The following is an 18,052-nucleotide window of genomic DNA, read 5'->3' as shown; positions in this document are numbered from 1 at the left end:
AGTAATTTTAAGGCTTATAAATAAGAGTTCCATAAAACAGTTTCTTATTTTCCTTTAGGAAATGGAGAAAGGATCAAAAAACTTCTCTCCCTACATACCTGCCAATCATGAAGACAACATTATTATCATTTTTAATTTATGTTTTAACATGCATTGAACGAGTGGGGAAGGTTATCTGGGGGTTTTAATTTTTTTCCCCCTTTTAGTTGCTCAAGTCTGCTTTTTGGGAGCTTTCAGACCCACAAACTGATGTCATCAGTCACCAGTCTCTAATTATGCTCCCTACCCCTAGACATGAAAGATAAATGGCATAGATATAAATTGGCATTTGTCAAAATTGATTTCCTGTTTTAATTGAGGGGTGTAATGTATCAGTCTTTTCTAGCCACAGAAACATGTGTGCTCCGATTATAAGTATCAGTCTTTCTTGGATTAGGATAAGTCTAAGAAAGGAGAGAAACAGTAACAGAACATACTCCCCATTGAGATCTTTTCACTTCCCTTAAGACGCAGGGATTTTTCAATGTGTAATTACAAGCTAAAAATATCAATAATGTGAAGCACAATTTATGCTGTGACTGCCCTTTAAAAGTGAGTCCTTCCTTGTCTAATTCAGGTTGCAAATTTCCGCCTCTGGGATTTTTTAATTCATTCAACCTCACGTCTTTTGGTGAGGTTTTCACTTTCTTTGCTACTTGGAAAGTGGTTAGGACATTCATTCTTAAAATATGAGTCTCAGATCTCCAAACTCCTTGGGGTAAGTGCTTCCTGGCTGTTGACAATCAACACAGTGGTGAGAATTAACCCAGAAGACTTCACACTTGGAAGCCATAGAATGGATACCCAACCTGGTGAGCAATACAAGCTTCATCTCTTTGATAGCCTCAAAGGCTGTCTTCAAAGCCACTGCCCAGCAAACACATACAGAAACCTGAGTCCACCATTTACAGATCATATCTATAGGTTTAGTACAGTTCTTAAAAATATAAACCAAACGTTGGCTGGGCACAGTGGTTCATGCCTGTAATACCAGCTCTTTGGGAGGCTGAGGCAGGTGGGTCACTTGAGGACAGGAGTTTGAGACCAGCCTGGCCAACATGGCGAAACCCCATCTCTACTAAAAATACAAACATTAGCTGGGCATGGTGGTGCATGCCTGTAGTCTCAGCTCCTTGGGAGGCTGAAGTAGGAGAATTGCTTGAGTCAGGAGGCAGAGGTTGCAGTGAGCTGAGATTGCACTACTGCACTCCAGCCTGGGCAGCAGAGTGAGACTTTGTCTAAAAAATAATAACAATAATAATATACATGTATATAAATAAATATATTTATATATAAAATATATAAAAATATATTTACATATTATTATGTATATATATAAACATATATATAAAATGAATGTTATTGAATAATTAAGTAACAAACTGGTCAAATAAAAATAAGCACAATACAAAACTGTTTAAATTTCTTAATTTTCATAAAGACCCCAGCTGTAATACAGGAAAGAAGGACCTAAAAATGAGATAAATGAAGTAGTGGGGACAGATTATTTTGGGCCCATGAATAACTGGCCTTGATCTTGAGGCACCATTTTTTAATCCTCCTCAAAAGAACACACAATTTGCATTCATTAATTCTATTAAAAAATAACTTGAGAAAGAGAAGACTTGGGTGGAAGAAAAGGCTAGGGAATGGCATCAATATGTTGACAATGGCATGAAACTGCCTTTGAATATGTGAGAGGCTTGCATTAGTAAAAGAAACTGAATGGTTCTCTGTGTCTGTCCACCATAACTCCCTATCAGTAGAGTGGCAGGGATGCACAGATTAGCTCTTGAGAAAACTCTGGGTCATCACAGCTGAGAGAGCTTTAGAGAGGGTTTGATCTAAAGACCAAACTGAAGAGCTCAAATAAGTTGAACAATGCCAAATGTCACAAATTTTGTTCATATTTAGGCCAGGATCCTGTTTCTTTCTAACACATACACACTATAGCTGAGCCAGCTTTTTCGTCATTAGAATTACCCAGAGATGCAATGGACAAGCTCTGGGGAAGCCTTGACACAGAGACCAGGCTGGATGACTGCATGGATTGTCTGATATTAATTCTTGCATTGGAGGAGGGGATCAATAAGCTCTTTTAAAAGCCTCACTAAATCCTGAAATTCTGTAGTTCTGAGAGAGAAGAATGTATGCCCAGATGCCAAGCAGTAAGAACAGACTCCAAAAGGACTGGCAGGGTGGTGACGAGAGAGTAGGTTGCCTACTTGTGGAAGTCCTCAATGCAGTGAATGAGCCCGCCAGCATCCACAGTGAATGGGATCCCATCCAGGCTGCGGTGGCACATCACGCAGGTGAAACAGTGAGGATGATAGGCCTTCCCGGTGGCTCGGAGAATCCGCTCCATGATGGGCTTGGAACACACATTGCACTGCTCCAGAGTATTCTGGGGAAGGAAACAGAAACCACGTCAGACTGGGACAGAAGGGGGTCCATACTGCATGACAGGCATCTTTACAAAACAGATTGTCTCAGGTCCTTATCACACCACTCTAAGGAAGGCATTTATCACCATTTACAAACCACATCTACAGCTTTAATACAGTCCTTACAAATAGAAAACAAGTGTTATCGGCCAATTAACTAACAAACTGGCCAAAGAAGTGTGTTATAGAGAGAAGGAAACACAATTAGATGGGTCAAGTGGCTTTTCTAGTATTACTCAGGTAGTAGGTGGCAAGTCCAGAACTGAGGACATGTGTTTTCTGACTGCTATCCTTGTTCCTTCCCTTGTTTCCTACAGCATGGGTGATGGCAAACTTTTCTCTAAAGTCCCATATAGTAAATATTTCTGGCTTTGTTGTAACAAGTCAACTTTGCTATTATAGCTGGAAAGCAGTCATAGCATGCAAGCATATGGGCATGCTTGTGTTCCAGTAATACTTTATTTACAAAAAAAAAACAGACAATGGGCTGGATTTGACCCATGGGCATAGTTTGTTGACCCTTGAACTATACCACTCTGGTTCACCGATTGAGGAATGCTTCACTATTACTTCTAAAACTTGATTCATTATCAAAGACATAGTGTGACCACTTAGACCATAGTGCGATCACTAAGACCCCTACTTTTTACAGAATAGCCTGTCAGATGACTGAGACAGAGCATGCTAAATGCAGAACCCAAATCAGAACTCAGCATAATCAATTAGGCTTCTGATCATTTAAAGCTTTGATTTACACACCATCTCCAAGTTTAGAGTTTGCAAACTCTTGACAGAAATGTTGAATGTAGAAGGGAGCTGGTTTGAAAAAGTGAATTAAGAAACACATTTATCTGGCCTTAAAAATATTCTAAGCTTTAAAAATATATAGCACCCCTTAAAAGAGACACCAGTTAGTGAGTCAGGTCTCAGAAAGATCGGCTGTTAACTTTCCATCCTGCCCTTTAATTCCATGCTCTTAGCAAACAACCACGTTTCACATGTAAAATGCTATATTACAACTGAGGTATCTGGATTAACTCATTGAGTTTACAATCAGGAATAAACCCGGGATGTGGATCTTATTAGAAAGATGCAGAACTGAATGGGATGTGGAAATTCAGGGGTAGCTGCTCTTTTACCATGAGGATATATAAATGGCTATGAAGCAAGAAGTGTCTGTACGTAGGTAACTAGTGTCCTTATGTCTAACCTATAGCAATGACCTATGATTTGGCTTCTTTGTATCTCTCTTCTTATAATACTCCCCTTGCCCCTGTCTCCAATGACTTCCAGTTTTCTTTCCAAACACAGATGTGATCAAATACAAGTACCTTTCTGGATAATAAAATCTTAATGGCTTCACAATGTAAAAAGAGCTTATTCTTTACATGGTATCCAACCCCCCTTTATGGTTCTCATAACATCTCAGACCACTCACTCTTGTTCAAACCTATGTGAAACTCCCATACTTCTGTGCCTTGGCTAATGCCTAGATGTATCGCAATTTGCCATTTTGACCTTTCAGGGTACAGGCTAGAAGGCCATTCCCCAGTGAAGCCTTCCTCAATGGTCCCACTTGGAATGAATTGCTTCTTTCTCTCCCATTCCTGAGCACTTTATTTGGTTTGCTTACAATACTTTCAGTGTGCACTTTATTTAAATTATTTGTGCTTATGTCTATTTCCTCTACCAGACTTTAATTTCATTAGGGGCAGAGACTATGTCTTAAGAATGTATTTCTCTGTCCTATAATGCACCCAGTATACTGTCTGAAATAGAAATAAGCCTGAGATGAATGTGTACAAAAAGAATGAACGAATGAATATTGTTTATATCCCACTCTGGCAGCACAGTGCTGGCCTGACTCCCTTAACTCTGGAATCCATCCCAAGATGAATTGGTAAATCCATCATCATCCTTCCCTCAAAGCTGTGGTTGCCTGAGGTTCTGAAATTGCTTCGTATGCCTCTGGTCACAGTCTAAACGCATGGAAACTATTAACCTATTTGTTTTTCCCATTTTGAAGTGGTGAAATTAAAATAGCAGAAGAGCACAGGGTAAGAGTTTGGAGATGATGATGGTTTGAAGAATGAGGGCCTGTTTCTTTTCTACCCTGACAATGTGAGCTAATGTGGCTGGAAATTGTCTTCCCAGGACTTGTGTTTTGCTCCTCTGTGGGTTTTTACTTTTTTTTTTTTTTTTTTAGTCAGCCCTGTAATGGAGTTGAATAACCAGAAAATGTTTGGCCAGAAAATGTTTTTGTTTGCACTGAGGCTTGGCTGCAAGATTCAGCTCATTTACTCAAAACTAGCAGCAATATAACAGGCTTAGTTCCTATGGAAAGACCTTGTGGTCTACAGATGCTGCATTCAAAGAACAGGTAATACAAACATTTCTGCAACAAAGGAAAAAAAGTATAAAATGTGATTAAAATCAGCCTATTGCAAAATGCCCGCAAATTGGAAAATAAAGGTTCCAAGAATGAAGTTGACTGGCATCCTAGGCTAGTGAATGATGTAGAAGGACATGTTATCCTTCGACAGCCTGCGCCTTTTACTGCAATCTTCCCCTTTCAGTCTCCAGTGGGGCCTACCAGTAGCCTTCGAGAAAGGAAAAACTCACAGTGTCAGGAGGAGGGGGCTGGGAGTTCCCTTAGTCCAGACTCTCATTCCACAGGTGAGCAGGCAGACTTTGAGAATGGATGTGCTGGACCTGAGTTGTGGAGAGCATGAGATGCAGAGGTGGGACTGGTACCCCAGTTACCTGACTCCTAATAATGCAGAGAGGGAGCTAAGGAATTCATTATGTGGCCATGAAAAAGGAAAGTTGCTAGGTGAAGAATATGAATTATCCTTCTGGCTTTGTCAAAATCTGCTGTATGACATTGGGTAAATAATTTATTCCTTCGATCTCAGTTTTCTCATTTGAAAAATGATTAATTCAAACTCTGTAATTGTATTAATCTGTGATAAATCAGTATTAACAACAATAGAAAAAGATACATGTTTACATTATCAGAAATATACAAAAACAACTGGATAACCCCTTATCAGAGGTTTGAAAGGGGCATTCATTTGCTAGAAACCTGGACTATATTACCTTTACTATGCACCTCCACTGATAATTCTAGAAATTGCTAATGGTAAAATTGTAAGGATCATAGAGGGATATTTTTGTGTTATAGATGATTATTTTAAAGCCAGACAAAAAGATGCACGCTTCATACAAATATTGGATTCATCTGAACCCATGACATGAAATGGTTGACAAATAAATCGGTTTTGAAAAAAAAGAAAGTCTTTAAGCAAATAAGTGAAAGAGGGATGTCTCTAAATATGCCTATTCAAATCACTTTTTTCTTTTTCTTTCTTTCTTTCTCTCTCTCTCTCTTTCTTTTTCTTTCTTTCTTTTCTTTTTTCTTTTATTTATTTATTTATTTATTTTTTTGTCTAGTAGGGTTGCCAGCATTGATAGCTGGGGATTTAAAAGAAAAGAGCACCTTCCAGCTTATGAACCTTCAATATCAGTAGCGTGCTTTGTGACTGGACTGCTGATCCAGCTCCATCGTGGTCCCATGGACTCCTCCTCCCAGCTGCCACACTGAGCTTTCTGCCACATCTTTAATAAGCAACATTCTTTTACCAGCCCAGACTATCTTGTATTCTACTTTGCTTAGAGAATGCCTACTCATTCTTCAAAGTGAAACTCAAATGTCACCTCTTCTGAAAAATCTTTCCTAAATCTTTTTCTGTTGTATTCCAAGAAAAGTAAGTAACTTCTTCCACTCCCATAGGATTGTATTATGCTTCCCCTATGACACTGAACACAATGTACTTGATTTAGTGGTTTATGTCAACCTCTATGACTAAACTGCAATCACTCCTCTCTCCTCCCATGAAGCCATAGTCTGAGGTTGTGTTTCCTAGGAAACAAATTCTGAAGCAGATTTGCACACAGTTAGTTATCAAGAAGTGTCCTTGCAATCAACACCTGTGGGAAAGTATAGGAAGTCCTTATACTTCTTATACTTCCTATTCCTATTGTACACTCTATCTACGGTATCCACAATAGTAAGCATCCTTGCCCAGGGACTACAAAGTTCATGACACACAGTAAGTAATTGGTAACGAGCTGTGGAAGGCCTTTGGCCAAAGCTGAATGAAGAATCCAAATTTTATTCATTTTGCAACAGGCACTGTTTGAGGACTTTTTTCCATAAAAAAATGTTTTAGGCTACTCCAATGAAAGTATGGTTAAAATGAAAGGACGTAGAGTAGCAGAAAAAAGCAGATTCTGTTGCTAAAAGTCACAGCTTATAAATTTTTCTGAAATGTTGGCAATACAATTGTGACTAAAAACAAAAAAACTCAGTGAAACTAACAATTAAATCACAAATCAACTTTGTACAGAAAACCCCCAAATGCAACGTTTTTAAGTCAGAGATACAATGGGGTAGTATTTTTTTCTATCTTTGGATATTGTATAAATAACTTGTAACTCACAGGCAGAAGAGCTGAAGAATCATATGAATATAAATGAAGCATATAGATAACATAAACGTGAACTACTAATGAGATGATAAAGAATAAGAATATTACCATTATTTACATATTACATAGGTATATGTAAGTGTTCAATTTTGAGTATTTAAAATCAAGATATACAGTCTTCATTTACATAAGTAATTGAAGATTCAGAAGACTATAAAGTGATTACTGCCATTTGGAAATGTTAACAACATTTTCATTTTATAAAATTAAAATGTGATCTTATATTCATCTTTACCTTTTTTAGGTACAAAAACAATATCGTGAAACAGGAAAGACTCTTGGAAAGATAAGGAGTGACATCTCATGATCTAGATAGTTTAGGTCTTGTTGAGATAAGAACAAAAAGAAAAAAAGAGAGAGTTAGAAGACATTCAGTCTTGAAAAGTCTTTAGAGATTACACTAGCCCAGGAATTTTCACCTTCTTTTACTTGGCCATTCACCCATAATCCTTTCTTCAGGGAAACAATTTATCAAAAAAAGCACATATTAAAGAGCCCAAAATCACTTCTGGCTGAAGGGCATGAAGGGATGGAACCTGTACTATCTGAAAACCATGATTCTAGTCCAACTGCTGGATTCAAGAAACTAAGGTATAGATAGAGAACACAGCTAGTGACAGATTGGGAGTTACAATAAAGGTCTCCTAATTCTCTGTCCAATGGAGACTCTCTCTGCTACATCACATTATATGGAATCTGTATATCGGTAGACACACACTGTATTTCAAATAGAAAGAAGACATTCAGGCTTGCTATCTGCAAGTTACATGCAAATAAATAGAGAAAACATGTTAAGATCTTAAGACAGTTTGTCTCCTAAACTCCTATAGGACAAGAGAAAACTCGTCGTTGGATCCCAAGCATCTACAACAGTATGCTTGCATAAAATTAATGCTCCACAAATATCAGTTAGTTAATGAATTAATAAAGTCCAGGTAAGTACTTTATATAAAATAAGTTTTTTTTTTCTATTTAACCATGCAAAACAATTCTCCAGTCTAGAACTTCTCAACTGGCAGGTTAACACACAGTGTGTTTCAAGTGGGTTCCGGATGCACCATATTTGGGAGGATTCGGAAGGACCAGAGGTGTCCAGAGTTCCTGAGCGGTTGCCTCAGGAACAGGACAGGAGAGATCTCATCCACTTACTCCGTGTGCTGAATGAATGCCATCATTTTCCACATGAACTGGGATGTGAAAAAGGTTGGGAAGTACAGCTCAAGTGTAGGTGTTCCCAACAGAATGGTAATGTGGTACAGTAAAGGAGCAGGGCTATGACTCAGCCAATTTCTCTTGAAATGCCAGTGCCATTATCTGAACTCAGAATACTGCTATTGCCTAACTTAATTATGGAATAAAAACTTATTCTCTACCTTGATTCTGGTCATCAAGATTGCTTCCCAAATGATGGCAGTACTTTTGGGTTTGCTTTGCAAGTGAAGATATCATTTTACCTTGGTAGTTCTAATGACCCTATACTAGATAACCTTCCAACAGCTCTGCCTTCCTGTGAGACATGAACTTTTTATTAACATTTCTCTTGGTCTTTCTAATGTCCTTTGTCTATATCTTAATCTAAGTCTATATTTGTATCTGCATGTAATGTGTGTTTTGAAACAGACTGAAAATAATAATCTCAAGCTTAACAGCATCCCACCCCTATGACTGTGATTTTTCAATTAGAATCAAAATTCCTCTTTTACAGATGAAAGTTTTCCTGATAGATAGGAAACGTTTTGAAACAATTTAATAGATAGCATCAAATCTCTAAACTGTACTTTTTTGATGTCATGACACACCCCCCTACCCCTGAAGATGACAGCTATGAAACACAGAACTGAAAATTCAGTGAAATAATTTCAACTTTTTTTGTTAATCTTTTGGAGCATAACTTTTTGCATCTATTGCCTCAGTTTTCTTATAAACTCTCTTTAAACAAACTTCTTATATGCCTCTCTAAAGAGCAGAGCTGCCTCCTCACTTACTCTAATATTGCAGAAAGCCTAAAGAATGGAACAAAGTGTTCAACAGCCTGGCAGGTACAGAGGAAGAGATGGAAGATAAAGATGCCATCCTTGCCCTCAAAGGTTCTCAATGCAGTGAGACAGGTGGACACAACTATTAACAACTGATTCGAGGCAAAGGGCATGACAAATTGCTATCATTGAGGCACGAGTAATGAATGATGGGAATGCAGAGAAGAGAGTAATTACTTATGAATGGTGAGAGAGCAGGCAGTATGGTGGTGGTCTATGACTCTTAAGAATCTATTCTAGTTGGGATTGGATTTGGCACTTGAAAAAAAACTTATTTTAACCCACTTTGGAATTAATGTTGTGCTATAACAAGAGTCTTTAATATCTAATACTCTTATAGGAGTCGCAGATAAGCCTGCACTGAAACAAATTCATTTCACAGGAAGAATATTGTAACGAAATCTGTGTATTGAGCAGCACTGATGAAGGGGAACTCAATATTGCCAGACATGAACATCCTTTTTTTTTTTTTTTTTTTTTTTTTAAAGACAGAGTCTCACTCTGTCACCTAGGCTGGAGTGCAGTGGCGCGATCTCGGCTCACTGCAACCTCTGCCTCCGAGGTTCAAGCGATTCTCCTGCCTCAGCCTCTTGAGTAGCTGGGACTACCGACACACACCACCACACCCAGCTAATTTTTTATTTTTAGCAGAGACAGGGTTTCACCATGTTGGCCAGGCTGGTCTTGAACTCGTGAGCTCAGGTGATCCGCCCACCTCGGCCTCCCAAAGTGCTGGGATTACAAGCATGAGCCACCACGCCCGGCCGAACATCCATGTTTTAACTAGCACAGACAAAACCTATGTGTTACTATCAAAATAAAATTTAGAAAAACAATTTTCTTATAAAATTTTCTGTTTGTATTTGGACTACATAAACTGGCTTTAAAATTGAGAAATATGCCCTAAAACCATAAGGAAAAAGCCAACAGAAAGAACAAAAAGATCACAGCAATTAGGCCGTTCTATTCAATTTTGCCATGAGCTAAAAATCACATTCTTCACAAAGTAAATTACGCCCTGTTTTTTATTCTTAAGCACTAGGGTTAGGATTGTGATCTGAGCTTTACTAAATCGGAAAAGAAAATCTCAATTATAGAACATTTAGTTTATTTATACCTTAATGCCCGGAGAGGTAATATTTTACTTTAAAATGCATAACCCATGTGACATGCTAGGTCTTCCAAAACACTTCTTTTGAATGTGTTCTGATCCTTGAAAAATGTGGGGCAGGGGGAAGGGGCCTAAGAGCTGAGGACTGTGGGTCAGACCCTCATGCCATGGGCATAATGAACATATCAGAGAAGACTAAGACTATGGTGAGAGAGAAAGAAAAGAATTGAGTTCCTTTCCTTCCGAGACAAGTCAAATGATAGATTTTGCCTTTACAACATAAGTCATGTGAAGATTTATTAACTCAGACATCAAAGAAGGTCTGCCATATTATAGTAAGAGAATTAGTGAAACAGTAGGAAAAAGGTGATCTGGGTTCGAAAAGCTAGGCAATTTTCTTGACCTTTCTGGCCTTTGGTTTTTGTAGACTGAAATGTCTACATTGCAGTGTTGTGAGGTTTAAATGAGTTCACATATTATCAAAGCGAGAACCCAGTCCTGACTATATAATAAATGTTAGTTTTATAAATTCCCTATACAAATTTCAAGGGGCTAAGACATTTATTCAATTAACTTGTCATCCTTTGATCATTTAATGTAACTACCACACTGAAGCACCGTATTTCTATTTTTTCCCTTCACCATTAATTCTCCTATATTTTATATCTGTCCTTTCAACAAATGGATTATCTAAGGAATTGTGTATATGATACTCTGGGATAATTGGATAATGTCATAATATAAAATGGGCTTCTAGATTTCTAAGTGAGTTTCCCCCTGCTTTCCTGGGAATTTTGTGAAAAAGCTCTTCTTCTGTGTAAACCTTATTATACCCCAAATCCATACATTTCTTAATTCTTCATAAAAGTAATTTATATTCCTTTATACACCAAAAATAATAACTGATACTTTGATTTGGTACAATCCTTAAAGTTTACTAAATGTACACAAACAGGAGCCCGTCTAATCTCCAGAGCAATCTGGTATAGGAGGTAGAATGGTAGAATTCTTTTCCGCATTACATGACACACAGCTATAAATGCAGCCAGGATTTGAACCTGTGTTTTCTAAAGTACAAAGAGAAAGGCTCATTCTTCTACTTCACACTGTCCTCCAATTAACAAGTTTCTCAGATATCTTTCTCCGTTATTCTGTATAAAGGCAATTATTCAGAATGCAGTTAATAATCTTTAGCATGCAGATTTCCCATAGCCTCTCATAAATACATAGTTTGGTTGAGCTTGAAAAATTCCCCGAATCATCTTGTCCAACTGTCTCACCTCACATACTAGGACACTGCATTTTGTGAAGCTGATTTGCCTATTGTGGTATATTTGCCCAATGTGATATACTATTTTGTGAAAAAGTCCAGGACGCAGATGGCATGGTTTCTATGCAGTGCTCTTCTCCCAACCCCACACTAGGTCCCTTTTTGAATACCAACACATCTCCCTGGTGTTCTGTCCCACTTAACAATAAGAATATGATAAAATTAACATAATTACTTACATAGCCAATGAAAAATTGTTAAGCTGAGTATGTGACACTACTTGGGTTTTGTCGCTGTCAAAACAAGATTGTTGCACACTGATAAATATGGGGGCCTTCTGGCTAAGAGCTCAGAGCAGATAATCCTATCCAAAGCCTCACATTAGGAAGCCTTAGGTCCAGCTTTCATAATTCCTACTATCAGCAACCTATAAATAGAGGCTATTAACCAACATTTAGACCAGTTTCATTGAGGCAGTGAATTTCCAGAGTAGCTGGAATTCACAGCACCTTGAACAAAATTCCATAAGCTACATGGGTGTCAATTTTCTCATCTATAGAATGGGATACTAAGTATTCTGCCTTAACAATCTCTTAACAATGAGAATTAAATATTATAAGAAATGGGAGAAGCACTGTTTAAGAATGTAAATAGATATAAAGATATTGTTATAAAGCTCTTTTCGCTGGAGAGAATTACTGTTACACAGAAGGATCGACCCTACATCTTGGTTCAACAGCCTCTGACTAATCAACTGAGCCAACTTCTATCATTCTTATTACTGGAGAGAAGTAGACAAGTATAAAATATATACACAAGTACCCATACTCCCTTGAATATTGAATATTGAGTTTGGAAAAATACAGATTATTTTGTTTTTGTTGTTTTGTCTTCAGCAGGTAATTTTTCTTGCCATGTATCTTATTTAGTTTACATACCTGGAATGCCTATCAAGTGATGGAGTAGTTACATACCATGCATTTAGAGTGTGTACAGAGAAGTCTATGAGCCAATAAGAAGTCTCATACAGTTCTCTGTCTAGTTTGCGGCAGTTATACTTGGCAAGGTCCATTTTCTTGACTTAACCGTAATCAAGGTCCAACAAAGCCCCTGGTACCCACGCCTGTGAAGCCCCATCTTAACAACCCTCAATTTTGTTACCTTTATTAAGAGTAGACATGAGGCCTTGATAGAGAAAAAGACTTATCTTTGGGTCACAGTGCTAACCAACCCCAGCACTAAACTAGAATTGCTGACATAGATGGTTACAGAGACTCTGTATGGCTCAGTGGCAAGGAGAAATAAAGCAGAAGTCAAGGGCTGTATTCCAGTCTTGCCAACGTCAGCCACCAGCAGTGAGTTTTGTACAAAGCATTTCCTCCCTGGGCCTAAATTCCGTCAGCTATAAAATAAGGGAATTAAGTTAATAGGGCTTTTGGTCCCTTGAAATGGAGTGATTTGAGGGCTGAACAAAAGCTTCAATAGGGCATGGTTCTTTGTCTTGTTCAAAGCATCACCCTCAGTTTCCAGAACAATGCCTGGGGCACAGAGAAGGAGCTCAGTAAATATTTTAGTAAGTAAATGAATGAACAATCATTTGGGAGTACTCCAAAGATTCATCCAACAGCATCTACTCCCATAGACATCCCCCAAATTTCATTACTATCCTCAGATGGCCTGCATCACCACACTATTTCAGCAGCCCCCTCTCCAGAGCCAGACTCTGTCTCTTTATCCTGTTGCTTTCTTCATAGTGCTTATCACTATGATATCACTTCATGAATTTAGTTGCTACTATGCTTCTGCCATGCTTATTGTTCATCTTACACTAGTTTGTTCAAGACACTACTGCATTTGCAGCCTCTGCGGCAGCGCTTAAGACATAACAGGCAATCAGTAAGTATTGGTTGAATACAAAATTAAATGACATTAAATAACCTAAAATCTAAGGCCTCTTACAACTTTTCTGTTCTTTATTCTACCTCAGCAAGAATATATCTTTTAAAGAAAAAATAGTGCTACATATTTCTCCAGGAATATAAATGATCTGAAGTTAATCACACAACATAGAAATTAGGAGAATGCTCTTTTTACTTACAGTATTTGTCTACCATGGGTAACTAACTCATCCAGGAGAATGTCTAAAACCCATGCTTAAGTGATGATGTTTTCAGCTATGTGTATACAGAGTAATGACTGCCTGCCTGCACATTTCAGATCAGAATTAAACCAGTTTGAGTCATCCATTAGAATCAAGATCTGCAAGCAGAGACTAGAAATGTTCCCAATACCATTCCACTCACATGTTGGTTCCCTTCAGAGCTGCCTGAAACTCAACCCTGCCAAGATGTTTATTATCTACCTGGCTTTATGAATTACAATTACTTCCTAAATTACAGTAAGCTATAAGTGGTCTGAGCCAAACAACTAGGGTCATGGAAGGGCTCTCTTTGTACTCCTGGGGATGATAGAAAAGCTTCTTTGAACCAAACTTGATCCTCTTTCAAAAGAAAGGGATAACTTTAAGCCTATAACTCCTGGGAGTGGCAAAGAGAACAGCCAGAGGGCCATGAGCTAACTTCAATTCTCTAGAGATCAGTTGAACAGATTTGGCAATCATTTGGCTTCTGTTGAGAACAAGGCCTTCTAATTGTATTTCTGCCAATGGAAGACAAAAGACAGCACATGACTTAGGAAGGCCATAAAGACATGCCAACATCATGGCTGTGACTGTGCGGTTCCCTTCCGAAGAGGGCACTGCTGATGTGTATGTCAAATGTCGGCTCTAGGACCCATTCATGAGAATTAAACCTCATGAGGAGCTCAAAAGGAAGCTGGTGAAGTAATTTGCTTCCCTTAAACAGTATCTTGGCTGTAATATTTTCTGACACTAGAAATAAAATAATTCCATGTTTTGATTCCTCCCCCACCCTGCCAAAAGTGATTTAGATTAACTAGGTATGAAACGCACAGCCAGGGAGTATAGGGTTTTCCATTCTATAACTGCTTAAAGACAAAGAGGCAGGAAATACAGATGTTTTCTCCTTGCTGTTGCAAAAGGGTGGTGGACTAACTCTTTCAGTGTCTCTGGAATGCAAATTTTCTTTCACAGTTTAGCAGTCTTTTTTGGATTTCAGCACAGTGAACTAACACTTTCCTGGATTCCAAGACCTCCAGAGAACCAGATGGATGACAGAAATTGGGAAAAAGAACCCACACTGCTTGAAAAAGGTATGAATTTCTCACTCTGCATTTAGCCAAAAAGCACTGAAAATTAGAAGAGTGAAATCACTTTTGGTTTGTTCAAATGCATGCCATTCTAGAGTTGTTTGTGGTGAGTAAAAGAAAAGGAAAAAAAAAAAAGAAAAAAATCTAAAGTGCTTCAATGGTTTGGAGTCTGTGTTCAGTTTAAGCTAGGAAGCAACTTTAACAGAGATGATATGTTTACTATCAAAGGAAAGAAAGATTGTAGATGGAAGAGATTACCAAAGACGATCAGTTTATATGCCTGTGCTCTAAAGACAGTGACTGCTCCCCAAAGCCAAACGTTTTAACTTGATGTTCAAGGCCCTTCAGGATGCTGTCCTACCTCCCCTGTCTAGGCCCCTAGCCTGTCACCTCTCCTACAACTCAGTCTTTGTTCCTGTCAACCCAAGCTTTTAAACACTTTGTGCTCATTGTTCTTTCATGCCTTTCCACCTGCTGTTGCCCCTGCCTTGAACGTATTTCCTTAACAAGTTACATACATCAAATTATATGGCCCATGATATGTGAATGTTACCTCTTCTGTTAATCACTCTCCTCTTCTGTTCTTTCACAGCACCATAGCAGAGAACCCAAGTATAGTGTTATCTGTTCATATGCTATGGCAAGTTGTAATTTTCAAAGATGACTACACCAAAACACATCCCATCTCACAATGTGATACTAACAGTCCACCACTAAGAGGTGAGGTCTTGGGAGAACCTATGCAACTGCCTGGCCAAGAGAATGTCATAGCAGTGATGCTGCCTGACTTCTAATGCTAACCTTTTTTTTTTTTGAGACAGAGTCTCCCTCTTTTTGCCCAGTCTGTAGTGCACTGGCACAATCTCGGCTCACTGCAACCTCCACTTCCCGGGTTCAAGCGATTCTCCTGCCTCAGCCTCCTGAGTAGCCGGGATTACAGGTGCCCGACACTGTGCTCACCAATTTTTTTTTTCTGTATTTTTAGTAGAGATGGGGTTTCACCATGTTTGGCCAGGCTGGTATCGAACTGCTGACCTCAGGTGATCCACCTGCCTTGGCCTCCCAAAGTGCTGGGGTTACAGGAGTGAGCCACCACACCCAGCCCTCCTAATGCTAATCTTAAAATGTGATATAGTTTTCTCTTGAAATACATACCTTTGAAGTCCTCAGTTGCTATCTTAGTTTGCTTTGTGTTGCTATAATACAATACCACTGACTGTGTCACTTTTGAACAACATAAATTTACTTGGTTTATGATAATGGAGGGTGGGAAGTCCAAGATCATGGTGCCAGCATCTGGTGAGGGCCTTCATACTGTGTCATTCCAGGGCAGAAGGCAGAAGGTCAAGAGAGGATGACAGCAAGAGAGCAAGAGGGAGTCAAACTCACTTTATAACATCCTACTCTCTCAATAACTAACCTACTTCCAAAATAATGGCATCAATCCATTCATAAGGGGAGAGCCCTCATAACCTAATCATCTCTTATTATACCCCACTTCTCAACACTGTTGCATTGGGAATTAAGTTTCCAACACATTAACTTAAAGGACACATTCAAACTATAGCAGTTACCATGTAAGAAGTTAGGTTATCCCAAAGCTGGAGAGACCACATGCAGATAGAGGGAGATACCTGAAGACCCCAAGTTGTTCCAGACTAGCTGTTCAAACACTCCTGGCCCAGGTGTAAGGAGAAGCAGCCTTTGAGAGACCTCACACCAGAAACCTCATGAAAGACCCCAAGCCAAACTTGCCCACTTGAGACACAATCAAATTTCTTTCTTTCTTTTTGTCTTTTTTGAGACAGAGTCTCACTCTGTCCCCCAGACTGGAGTGCAGTGGCATGATCTCAGCTCACTGCAACCTCTGCCTCTTGGGCTCAAGTGATTCTCATGCCTCAGCCTCCCAAGTAGCTGGGACTACAAGCACGTGCCATCATGCCTGGCTAATTTTTGTATTTTTAGTAGAGACAGGTTTTCGCCATGTCAGCCAGGCTGGTCTGGAACTCCCCGGCCTCAAGTGATCTGCCTGCCTCAGCCTCCCAGTGTGCCGGGATTAAAGGCATGAGCCACCACGCCTGGCCCAAGATGCTATCAAATTTCTGACCCACCAAACTGTAAGAGATAATAAATGATTGTTCCTTTCAGACACTAATTTTTGGAGTAAATAGGTATTTGGAGCTACAGTAATTGACACATAGACAATATTTTTATATTTAATTATAAACTCTTCGAAGACTAGGATTTAAACATTTTTAAATTGATGTTTCTAGCACTGACAATAGCACATGAAATATAGTAGGGATTGTTTGTTGAATAAATACTTGAATAAATGAATGAATATTAAATTTTGGACATGGCCATGTTGAATTAATGCAGTGTAATTTCATGAAGCAGGTTAGGTTTATTAAAAATCCTAGAGCATATGAGCAATAATAATGCCCAAGGCATAAAGTACGGATGCAAAATAGACTTTCCTCCTCCATACAGGGGAAAATGTGGTTTCAAATTTTGCAAGCTCTTGATTATCCCTGCAAAAGCGTAATACACTGGTATGGGATTATTTGCATAAAATTCCTTTTCTTCAAAAGCATGTAGTATTATTCTTATCATCTCTAGACATGAAAAGACAGTAGCTTTTTTAATGATTAGTTCTCAATCAATAAAGACAAATTATTTAATTATACAAAAAAATAGTTAAAAAGCTAGAACTTCACATAGAATCATAGAGTGATGTCAGAGAGAGGAGAACCTTTGGGGCTATTTTCCCCAATCAATCTGATCTATAAATTCCCTCTACAACATTCCCAGTCAGTCAGTGTTTTTCCAGCCCCTGAGGCTGCTTATACCATGTCCAGGGACAGCTCACTCTCTTGGTTCGTTCATTCCACTGGTAGGTCTAATTGTTAGAGCTTTCTTATTTTGACATAAATATCTTCTTCCCCATTGGCCCTACTTCTGTCCTCTCCAGACAAATCTGTTGCCTTTTCAATTTAACAGCCCTAAAGAGCACTGAAAACATTGCCTTTCCTTAGTCTTCTTTTTATTGGAATAAAGGGATACCTTCCATCATTCCTTATGAGAAATTTCTGTCACCTCACTCTCCCAAGCACCTTTGTCTGCCCAAGGTCTAGTTTATCCAGGTTCCCTTCATCATGTGGCGCCCAGAACTGAACTCAGCACTCCAGGCACTGCTGCTTCCCTGTTCTGCATGCTCCTCTTTAGATGAATGCAGTCCAAGATTTCATTTACTTTTCTGTGGTCCTACATTATTATTATTATTGTTGATCTTGCGGTCAGACTATCTTCTCTACCAGTCTTGTTTTCTTTCTTTTTTTAAAAAATATAAACAGCTATCAAAGTAAATGACATTT

General features: G+C 38.7%; 1 protein-coding gene across 50 annotated transcripts in view; it reads right to left on the bottom strand.

Annotated features, from left to right (window-relative positions):
* The window catches only part of LPP (LIM domain containing preferred translocation partner in lipoma), a 737,651-nt gene that overhangs the window by 22,029 nt on the left and 697,570 nt on the right, over positions 1 to 18,052 (bottom strand). For all 50 annotated transcript variants that reach the window (NR_164692.1, XM_047448103.1, NM_001375457.1 and 47 more), the window contains one exon: positions 2,265 to 2,443. Coding sequence is in view for 49 of the 50 variants with exons in the window: in XM_047448103.1 (XP_047304059.1) it covers positions 2,265 to 2,443 (179 nt within the window). In the remaining variant the exon portion in view is untranslated. The remainder of the gene's footprint in view (positions 1 to 2,264; positions 2,444 to 18,052) is intronic.

The sequence above is a fragment of the Homo sapiens genome, chromosome 3 (genome assembly GCF_000001405.40).
Source record: "Homo sapiens chromosome 3, GRCh38.p14 Primary Assembly".
In the NCBI taxonomy this organism is placed as follows: domain Eukaryota; kingdom Metazoa; phylum Chordata; class Mammalia; order Primates; family Hominidae; genus Homo; species Homo sapiens.
This window is presented reverse-complemented; position numbering and strand designations above follow the sequence as displayed.